Source organism: Homo sapiens, chromosome 2 (genome assembly GCF_000001405.40).
Source record: "Homo sapiens chromosome 2, GRCh38.p14 Primary Assembly".
Classification (NCBI taxonomy): Eukaryota; Metazoa; Chordata; class Mammalia; order Primates; family Hominidae; genus Homo; species Homo sapiens.
The window spans coordinates 114269845-114281891 of record NC_000002.12 but is presented as its reverse complement, the minus strand read 5'-3'; the positions used below and the strand labels follow the sequence as shown (position 1 = coordinate 114281891).

Here is a 12047-nt window from a genome sequence, read left to right as displayed (position 1 = left end):
TGCCATCCACATGGTACTAGTGTGTATTAGGAGGGAATTCATTATACTCTCCTGTCCCCTCCCCATATCTCTGATCTGGAGATTCTTGTTCACTCCGCCTTTTCACCACATACAAGGAATTACTACAAAACCACTCAAGTAAGCATTTGATTGGATAAATCCAAGACCTTGTCCAAACACATAGCATCCCTTAGGAGGTCCAAAGATCAGGCTTCTTTTAGGTCCATTTCTACAGAGGACATTGTTTACATGTTTACTCTAAAAACCTGAAGTTGGTATTTCCAACCCAGACTAGTCTGGTTTGGAACAACTAGACTAGACTTCTGGGGAAGGTTCTGTTTGAAGATTTCATTAGAAGTTTCAACCAGTCTTCAGTTTGATTACTTTTAGGCCTGAACTGACTTCTGGTGTCCCCAGCTGAGCTAGGCTAGCTGGCAAGTGGAGGCCTAATAACAGATCCACTTTCAATCAAAAGGCCATCGCTGTGCTTGTTGATAAATACTGTGTGTGTGACTCATGTTATTTATTTAACCTTTAATAACGCTTACCACACACCTGCATTTCTGGGGTCTGTGGTTAAAGTTTAGGAATCAGTCCACTTGATTATGAGTTCAGAGACCTAAATTTAGTCCTAGTACCAATGGTACCAACAGAGCAGTAAGTTAAATAGCTTCACATCTCAAGTGACTTTCTTCATCTATAAAATAAGGCAATCAATCCTTTTGTACTTCATGAGCATAGATGATCGGGTGTTCATGCACGTGTGTGAGATGTGCCACCCTCGAATGGGCACATTACCCATCTGACCTGAAGAAAAAAATATTAAGTGAAAAAGATTTTTTAAAAATAAATAAAATAAGGCAACTGGACTAGGTTAACATTTATCCAAGATTTTCCTGAAGTTTCTCACTGGGCTCACCTGAGGTGGTTATAGAAAAGTAAATCTTTGTGGACTTATCCCTGACTTAGATTTGGAATCTTTGGAGAAGGGGTCCGGAATATTTCACTTGTAGCAAATTCCCCTAGGGACACTGAACCATCAGGTCATTTCTGAGGTTTCATCGATCTTTGACATTACATAAGGACAAGGACAAAGTAATATTTCTATTGATCTGTCATGACTATATGAATAAGGTTAATTCTAGCAATTTGGCCCAAATGTGTTAGGTCACCTTCGCAGTGCTTTATATCAGGTGATTGAGTCATCAAGCATAGAGATACTATGGCAATTGTTGAAGAAGCTCAGAATTTTAAGCCAAGATGACCTGGGTTCAAATCCTACCTAATTGCTGCTCCAATTGTCTTCCTTCCTGATTCCCTAAGCCTCCATTTCCCAATCTGTTAAGCGTGTGCGATAACAACGCCTGTGTCTTAGGCAGTACCATCACAAATATTTCCATAAAATAGAGTTTAGGAGAGGCAATTCTAAGTGTGGGCTAGGGTAGGAAGTGCAGGGCGGGGAATGGGATGGAGGACAGATCTTGAAACTTCATTTGCCTAAGAAGGTCCATGTGGGGCGGCTTTGGCAAAGGTAGGAAGATGGGAACTGATGGAGATTTACTATCACTACTTGTGATGATTATGAAGATTAATAAGGAAATAAGGATTTTTTCATAGATTTTCTGACACAAACAATGATCAATGAGTAACAGCTCTTATTAAGTTGAACCATATGAAATTGCTAATTTTCAACTCTTTTTGACTGTCTAAATGGCAGTTCCATATGGTTTCAAAACAATATAATTTAATATGGAAATCCCAGTATGACATAATGAATTTATTTTTCCCAAATTATTCATGTCCTTTTCAAGAAAAAGTGAGAGAGGTGTCACTGAATATACAATGTGTTTTTTTCTTTTATAATGATTTTTTTTATTTTAATGAAAATTCAAAAGGCTTCACCTCAAGTCACATTACAATCATTTTTCTAAGTAATGATATGATAAGAAGTGAGGCAGCAGGTGGGAGTTGTGATAGAAAACACCCAGGAGGATGTCAGATGAGGGATTCTTGTGCCTTGTTCTAACTATTACGATAACAGCTGTCCTTCTTGTACAGCACATCCTGTCTCTGTGACTTTAATGATGACCTGAACTCCTAATCAAGTGTTCATGTGGCCCACAGACACCACTGGGTGCTTAAAAAGTCACACACTCTCTGCCTGCTGGTAATGGATGGCTCTGCATTTCCTTTCCTTAGAGGCCATCTTATAAACAAGAACTAGTCATATGGGGTATAAAAATAATTAATGGTCTTAACTGAACTATTAATATGATGTTACTAACCAGATGAGATATCAATCTAATTTAATTTGCTAATTTCATATTCACATTTTATCTAATAGCTAAAGTGAAGAATAAATCATATTGACTCTCATATGTTTATGCTTCATGTTTTTAAACCTCGTGGGTGTGGATGTCTCTATTGAAATTTACTTTCTGTAAGTTCTCATAGAATATCTGGAGAGCTTGCTAACAGGAAAAATGGAACCGTAAGGTTTTCCCGGCCATGACTACTCACATTGAACATCTCACCCAGCAAACATAACATTTGTTACTACCTGAGTCCAAATACTCAAGATGTCACATAAAAATTTGAGAACTCAGAATGGGAAAATAAGCCTGAATATTTTATTAGAAACCCAGAATTGCAAAGAAGCCAGATCTGACTAAACACATCCATGATTACTATTGGTCTATACTGATTCATTAATTCAATCATTTTATCTCTCAGGTGGCAGGAGAAAGCATAGAAGAAAAGCATTCTTTCAAAAATAGATTAGCGAGGATTTTCTTGTGTACTTCATATTTGTTTTATTGTTGGTGGTGTTTAATTGAAAGATGATGAAAGGAAGAGAGAAATCTTTACCTAAATTTTTCCCCACCTCCATCTCTGACTTGATCTCTGTGCCAATCTTTGGCAACCCCAAGGAGATTCTATTTCTGTGTCTCTCTGGGTCTGATGTAAGTGAGGAAAGAATGCTGAACTGAGAACTAATAATAATGGACTTGGGATGGTAGTGACCCAAGCTCTTAAACTGTCTTTGATTTGATCTAGTGTGATATATTTAAGTATCATGATAGGGTAAAGAAAATACTATAGGAAAGATAACAAGAGAGAAACAAACAAAGGAACCCTCAGTTCCAGTAGTGGTTCAGCTTCCGACATAAGACCAGGAAACTGAGAAAAAGAAACCCCTTAAAAGAAAGTCAGAGAAGCACACTAGCCAGACTGAGACTGGGCAGCAACTCTCAAGGCAATGATGTGGAAGTCTTGGCACATTCAGGGACCTGACAAGAGGATGTGTTGGGATGGTCTCATGGAGTTCATGGAGTTTGGGATTTTCATGGCAAGAATAGCAAGATTCAGGAGGCTAAAGCAGAGGTCAGTAAACTACAAGAACTAAAAATCTAATCCGGCCCCACCCCTTTGTTTGCATGTTATCTATGCTGCTTTCATACAACAGCAGAATAGAATCTAATAGTTGCAACAGAGAGCATGTAGCCCACAAAGCTGAAAATGCTTATTATCTGACCCTTTACAGAAGTTTGTTGATGCCTGGGGTAGAATAATTCAGAAGGAAGGTCAGAATATTACAACAAAAGTAGGAAATTGGGAATGAACATATTACATTAAAAGACAAAAAGGAGAGCAATCTGCCCTAAACAGAAACCCCTAGAAGTAAGGAGTGGGGAGTCGGGGGTGTCGTCTTGCAAAGTTCACACTATGGGGTCTTGATGATGAGATCAAAGAATTTTCACTTAATTCTCTAGATAGAAAAAAAAAGCCACTTCAAAGTTTTTCACTAGTAATGACAGTGATGTTTTAATTTAGTTACTGTATATGAGATGGGCTAAACAGGAAATCTTCAGAAAAATGACCCTCAGTGTGTGTAATGGAGAAAACTGGAAATGAACCAACTCAGGTACAGACCTAGGATTCCCTACACCTCAGGCCAGTTCAAAGATTGTTGTGCCTTTGTAAAAGTGAAACATTTATCAGTATACGTTTTTAAGGTGAGTCATTTAGATTTTCCTAGTCCAGACATTTTTCTTTTCCTATCTTATTTTTTCTACTTTTTTCCCTTAACATCTTGCATATGCCTTGGCTAGTTGTGATCAGTTCTTAAAGCTGGAGAAGGAGACATCTGTTGCTGAGTGTTGGTCACTGCTCAGTAACCTGCCTGTAAGTTAATAATGGCAGGCTATTGGCGAATAATAACTGTTACTTTCTTCCTAATGTCCCTGAAGCATTATTAAATGTGGCACTTACAGCCCCTTATATGCAATTTACCTCTGTAAAAGGTCATCTGCAAATACAGTACTTAAAAATATGCCACAAGGAACTGTGCAATTACATGCTGAGACATTCATTACCAGCACACGCCTACACAGAATACACCCCGTTTTAAATTTAGCCACTCTTAAAACTGGCAATGGAGTCTTCTTTGATGCATCTCCACAGCAGAAAACATCCTGTCTCCCTCACTTTTCTGAATGTCGTGAAGCCATACCTTGGCTCTGGAATGCTAAGAAATCAAAGGCTGAAGCAGGTGATGCTTACCCTCAATGAGTCCCGTTGCTCTTTCTCATCCCTGAAAGATAACAAGGGTCGGCCGGGCGCGGTGGCTCACGCCTGTCATCCCAGCACTTTGGGAGGCTGAGGTGGGCGGATCAGGAGGTTAGGAGATCGAGATCATCCTGACTAACACAGTGAAACCCCGTCTCTAATAAAAATACAAAAAAAATTAGCCGGGCGCGGTGGCGGGCACCTGTAGTCCCAGCTACTCGGGAGGCTGAGGCAGGAGAATGGCGTGAACCCGGGAGGCTGAGCTTGCAGTGAGCCGAGATCGCGCCACTGCACTCCAGCCTGGGCGACAGAGTGAGACTCCATCTCAAAAAAAAAAAAAAAAAAAAAAAAAAAAAAAAAAAAAAAAAAAAAAAAGATAACAAGGGTCTTCATGCTTCCCCTGGACTCCCCAGGTGCACCTACCCTAAACATATTTTAGTGTTCTCCTTTCAGCAGTATCTTATGCTCTGGACTTTCCTCAATTCCCGCTCTCCCCCCAAAAACCAAGATGTCAAGGAGGTTCCAGGTTAAGATGATGGATTAAAAATACAAATCTAATTTTACATCCTTTGTATTAGTCAGCTCAGGCTGCTATAACAAAATTCCATAGACTGGGTGGCCATTCATTCATCACAGTCCTGGGTAGACTATGAGACTGGGAAGTCCAAGATCAAGGTGCTAGAAATTTAGTAAGTAGTGAGGACCTGTTCCTGGCTTACAGATAGCAGTCTTTACACTGTATGCTCACATGAAAACAGTGAGGCCTGGTTTTTCTTCCTTTTTTAATAAGGACTTTATAATTCTATCATTGGGACCTCATCCTAATGACCTTGTCCAAAACTAATTACCTCCCAACGTTCCCACCTCCAAATACCATCACATTGGAGGTTAGAACTTCAACATGTGAATTTAGGCAAGACAAACATTCAGTCATAACACCTTCTTAAAACAACTCTAAATTTAAAACAAAAGGATAAAAAGATATGTAACCACAAAGAGAATGAGAATAAAAAAATTAGCAAAAGCAAAAATATTTTGGAAACTGGAAAGAAAATTAATTAAAGACAACAAAGTTCTGAGTCTACAGTGAAGAAAGTAAAGAATCAGCCTAATTTATACCAGATAATCCTCAAAAGTCACAGGAACTGACAGCGTCAGATATTTATGAAGTTAGCAGTAAAGGGGGGCACTTAAAATGAGGAAGAATCAAGTCAAAAAGTAATCATGTCTCTAAATATCATCTCCAACTCTACGTCATTCAATTATGGCCCCTCACAAACCAAGTAGAAATCTGGAGATCATTTTTTCTATAAAGAGGATAAAAAAGAGTGTGATGGTTAATTCTAAAGCAAATGAAGCAAGAATAAGATGTTCTAAAAGAGAAAATTCAGAACACAAATTAGAGCAACTCTTAGAAATCAAAAGTATGGTGGCAGAAATCAAAACTTATAGAGAGATGAAATATAAACTTGAAGAAATTTCCAGAAAATAGAGTACTAACATAAAACTAAGAAACAAGAGATTAGAAAACGGAAGATTCAATCCAGAAAAACAAATTTAAGTTATAACCATTCCTGAAAGAGAAAATAAAGAAAATAGACAAGAAGGAATCATGAATAAACTAGTTCAAAAAAATTCCCCAAATTAAAAGACAGTTTTCATATTGAAAAGTCTCACAAGGTCCAGTGCAGTGGCTCATGCCTATAATTCCAGCACTTTGGGAGGCTGAGGTGGGCGGATCACTTGAGGCCAGGAGTTCAAGACCAGCCTGACCAACATGGCAAAACCCTCTACTGCAAATAGAAAAAATTAGCTGAGTGTGATGGTGCCCACCTGTAATCCTAGCTACACCAGAGGCTGAGGCATGAGAATCACTTGAACCCAGGAGGTGGAAGTTGCAGTGAGCTGAGATCAAGCCACTGCACTCCAGCCTTGGCAACAGAGTGAGACTCTGTCTCAAGAAAAAAAGAAAATAAAAGTCTCACAAAAACCCAGCAAATGAGTAATAAACCAAGGCATAACATTGTGATAATTTAGCTTATTGGAGATATTAGAAAGATTTTAAACACTTCAAGATAAAAGGAAACAAAGACAAGTGTCTTCTGAGTTCTCAAAAGTGATACTGGAAGCTGTATTAATGCTTTCAAAAGTCTGAAGAAAAACAGTCACCAGGGTAGAATTTAATACCCAGCTAAACTATCAATCAAGAATAAAAATAAATTGAAACTATGTTGTAACTAAGAAGATCTCAAGTTGTTTATCTCCTATACACACCTTTCTCTGAAAACTACAAGAAGTTTTCATGAAAATGAGGAAGGAAAGTAAGAAGCACAGAAAATTCCCAAAATGGTGGCAACAAAGGATCCCAGAATAACTTAGTGTACCAAATACAGCAAGTAAGCAATCCAGATTGAAGCAAGTTAAAAAATGTGTGGCCACGGCCTCATCTTGACAGCCAGCTTTTCCTCCAGAGTAAAGTGTTAGGCACACTGAAATTAAAGAAACAATCACTTTATTGGTGACATGCATCATGATGACAGTGAATGGTTAATACTAAATGACAAGATAACAAGGAATTATGTTCCTATCAGAAACATTCACATCAAAGCCTAGTGTCTCTGCTTTATTTAGTGTCCTGGCAAGAGCTATATAGCTTTGCTATAAACTACAATGCAGAAGAAAACACAAATCCACCAAGATGAAATAAATTCTTGAGTGTACACAGTTGCTTATATATGCATGGAATATTTCTGAGGGATTTCTTACAAGCTGGTAGCAATATTTACGGGTGGCTAGGTGAGAAGAGGTTGACTTAAGACTTAATTTTCACAATTTAACCCTTTGATCCTTTTAAAAATATATAATATGTTCTTCTATTGCCTACTACAGAATAAAATACATTTCCTAAAAAATATTATAAATACACATACTTTGGCTCCAGTTATTTGCTTCTAGGGATTTACCTAACAAATATTCCCAAACATGGACGTGATGACATGGATGGGAGATTATTCATTGAAATATTGCTTGTAATACCATAAGACTGGCAACACTAAAAATAATTATCAATAGAGCAAGAGTGAAATAAAATGGAAGCACTACATGAAAGAAATAAGAGCAGGCATATAAGTAACCTCGATAAATGTCAATGAATTAAACACCAATTTCCAACAAACATGACAAGATGCTCAATGACATTAATTGGGGAGATATCGCATAAAATATCAATGAGGTACATTTTCATAACTATCAGATTGACAGAGTCTTATAATGTATTCATTATGATATGAGTAAACAGAAACTCTAATTTTACCTGAGGTTGCCAGTCTTTTGCTGTCAGAATCTATATATACCCACATTTTCAGCCAGGGCATTTAATACTGTTCAACATGAGATGTCAAAAATGCCCAGTCTTCTTCCCATGAATCCCTCAGACACCTCTGACCTTCACCATTCCAAGAAGTCTCTCTGGAAATGCCAGGCGTCATCCTCACTCTCTGTGCCCTGTGGCTCCCCTGCATCTTGTTCTGAAACACCGTGCTGCGTGCACAGCCCACAGGCCTGATCCCTGCTGGTTCATCTACTCTTTTCTTCATTCTTTTGGCATTGGAACTTTTTTCTCCTCATCTTTAATTAGTGAAATCTACTGCATATTGTGCACTACAGTTTTGGTTTGTTTCTGTCCACCTTCAGTGGTTGCTCTGATATGACTTTTTTTTTGAGACAGAATCTCGCTCTGTTGCCAGGCTGGAGTGCAGTGGCGCAATCTCGGCTCCCTGCCACCTCCGCCTCCCGGGTTGAAGTGATTCTCCTGCCTCAGCCTCCTGAGTATCTGGGATTACAGGTGCGTGCCACCATGCCTGGCTAATTTTTTTGTATTTTTAGTACAGACAGGGTTTCACCACGTTGGTAAAACTCCTGACCTCGTGATAATGACCTCGTGATCCAAACTCCTGACATCCGCTCGCCTCAGTCACCCAAAATGCTGAGATTACAGGCGTGAACCACCACACCCGGCCTGCTATGACTTTCCTGATTCTGCACTTGGTGCTTATAGATGACAGCAGCTTGACAATGAGGTTTGTGGGAGATGAAGTGAGAAGGAGAGAGGATGCAGAGATCTAACATTTATTGAGCTGCAACCACATATCTGTCATCATATAAAATTTATTTTATTTCATCCTTCAAATAACTTTGAGAGGAAGATAATATTATATTTCCCCTTTTTACAGATGAGGAAATAGGTTCTTGCTTATGTTTTTTTTCTTTCTTTTCTTAATTGTGTGATTTACTGGGCAGGAGGACAAAGAGGATTCAGAGCAAGGGCAGCACTTCTCAGTCAGCATTTTAAGAGATTATACTTGAAGAAAAAGGAAAACACTTTTGTAGTTAAATACAGTTTATGCAACCTAGCCCCCTCCACTGTCACGTCACTGACCTTTCTCCTATATTTCTCCCTATCCTGGATCTACCAACTGTGCTGGCCATCTTGGTTTCCTCACATGCTCCAGAAATGTCCCTTCCTCAGGGCCTTTGCACTTGCTGCTTCCCTCACCTGAATGTCTTTTCCCCTAGGGGATCCTTTGCTCACCTCCTTCAGGTCTTTGCTCAAACATCACCTTAGAGTAACCACTAAGCACTCAACTTAAAATGGCAACTCCTGCTAGGTGTGGTGGCACTTATCCATAGTCCCAGCCATTTGGGAGGCTGAAGTGGGAGGGTTGCTTGAGCCCAGGGGTTTGAGGTTGCAGTGAGCCATGATTGCACCACTGCACTCCAATCTCGTGACAGAGTGAGACCCTATCTCAAAAATTTTCTTAAAGGGTGATTCCCCATCAGAACGTTCCTATCCTTCTCTGTGTTTCTCCATTGTACTAATCATGATTTGATACATCAGATTTTTATTTATTTACTGTGCACTGTCTTTCCCACTAGCATGTAAATTCCACAGGGCAGAGACTTATCTGACTGTTCCCTCTCTGTACCTAGACCATTTCCTGACATATTGTAGATGTTTCATTAATGTTTATTGAATAAAATTAAGTGAAGTGAATTAATAAAGTTTAGGAAATTTTGAGTTCCTCAGAGTCAGCCAGATTTTTTTTATCTGCAAGAGGAAGAGCCTTTAGTATTCCTGTAAGTATTTCAATCACCAAGAATAGAATCTAGCATGCACAATTTCCCAAACTCATGTGAACATACAACCTTCTTTCCGTGGAACAGGTTAGAAGTGCTTGTGCTCACGCTTTGGGAAATGCTTCTTTAAGCTTTCAAGCACTTATGCATAAATGGAAACAGAATTGTAAGAGCAGATTTTGATGAAAAGGAAAAAGGGGAGGACACTGGAATTCAACGTGTCTAAAGTGAAGTGAGACAGTCATTTCACTCAGGCATTCATTTATTTGTTCAGCAATTATTTCTTGAGTGCACCTGATGGGCCACACACCCTCCAGACATAGAGACTAGGTAGAGATCAACAGAAGCTGAGGTCTCGGCTTCACAGCCCTAGCTTTGCTGACTGCTTTTAATCCTATGAAATTCAGAGGAAGATTATTCCAAGCCTGTGCCCATCTCCTTTGAAGACTTTTCTGATTAGAAAGATACAGAAATGTAATTAACCCCTGGATGAGGGTGCTGCATGCAAATTTGTGAGGCAACAGGAGGTATGGATTTCTCTCCTGATCTGATTTAATCCCTTCAGGATTCACACCATAATCAATATTCTGCCACCCGGAAGGCGTGACTGAATGAACCCAGACAAGCACCATCGACAGCCTTGCACTCTTTTATCATGTCTTCTTTTGGAGCAAGGGAGAGGATCATAGTGCAAAAGGGAGGAGGCTGACTGGAAGATGAATTGGCAGGAGGTTGCTTTATCATCTCCAGGAGCCAATAAAAATAATTAATTAATTTCATTTTGGAAAAAAAAAAATCCTCTCTTCCTGATAAACAGAACAGGGCAACAACATATTGTTCAGTGAGTTATGGTGGCTAAAATCTCACTCTGAAAATTATTTGTCATGGCAACGGGTGAGTGTCACCCCTGAAGCCAGCAGCCTGAAGCAGATAGATTGTTTCAATTATCTAATTTTCACAATGAATGAACTCTGCTTATAGGAAATCCATAGGTGGTTGGCAGTGGGAAATGGCGGCTGTGACAAGTTCAGAGTTGGGAGATCTACATCCTCTCTCAAAACGTAGAACAGGACTGTAATTTTCTGCAAATATTCACAGAAGTAAAAGGAAGAAGAGCAAGAGAAAGAGGGAAACTCATAAAACTTCACTTTTTGTCTTTACTCCTGGCTCTGCATTTTCTTTCCAAATTGTCCACTCTCTGTCTGGTTCAGAGAAAGCTACAGGTAGGCCTTTGCTCTCACTGTCTAACTGTGTCTCTTCCCTCTTCTCTCTGTGTCTCTCACGGTCCTTTGAAAGTTATACACATGTGGCCAGAAAATGTCTGCCTTGGCCTCAATAGAAACTGCTATTTTACACAGTAAATTTCACATTAAATGTTTGGTAAAATTGTGTATAAAGCTCTATACCAAATGAAAAATTCAGTTACCCTTCATTTAGGTAACCTCTCTTCTCTGTGTTTTCTTCTGACATAGTCGGTTGTCTAGAGCGTATTTAGGGGACCAAAGGTGTCATTAATTTTCTGCCTTACCCAGATAGATGTTTTTGGTATAAATGAAGCCAGGAAAGAGGCAGGACTTGTGGATGGTGCACTCTCATCTTCCAGCCCACCCCTCAGGGTCCTTTGACTCACTGGCATAGTCCTTTGCTCCTTCCCACTCTCTTAGCCCAAATAGGGTTGATACAGCTCTAGTTTTTTGTCTCCCTTTCTCCTATTCCAGTTTCTGTACCTTAGTCTCACCAGTCCCTACATATCCTGTTTGTGATTTTTTGAGGGAGGCGATTTCAACCAGAATGACTACCAAGAAATGACTTTCCCAAAGTAATGGGCTTTTATGGTGAAATGTCAGATGCAAAGAGAGTTTGAAAATGTGTTAACATTGAGTGGGGTTTCATTGTAACCAGTGAGGGTGAGGCACAAAGCTTACAATCACACTGTATGCAATCAACCTTTCCAACCAAGCCTGCTTTTTAGTATGACCCTCAGCCCCGAAGGAAATCACCGCCCAGACTACATCTTACACTTTCCTGAGATTCTCAATGCATTCAGAGCTTGACCCCAGTGGGGAAAAAAAAAAAAAAAAAAAAAAAACTCATTCTCTGCACTAATTTTTTCCTAATAATTCTCTGCACTGATTTTTTTCAGGTGGATTTAAAAAAAGAAGAATTTGATTTTAGTGTAAACTCATTTTGGGTAGGGCTAACATTGATTAAGTTGGTTTGTTTTCAAAATAATGCTTATTGAATCCCAAAAATGAACGGACACTTAGGCCTTCAGTTATGCATCACTTCAATACCCTTGTTTGGAAAGTTCAGTTTACAAAGCAAAACTCAAAACTGATTTA

General features: G+C 39.2%; 1 pseudogene; it reads left to right on the top strand.

The window, feature by feature from the left end:
• Positions 1-716: 716 nt before the first annotated feature.
• Positions 717-808, top strand: LOC124906175 (uncharacterized; annotated as a pseudogene).
• The last annotated feature ends 11239 nt before the right edge of the window (positions 809-12047 follow it).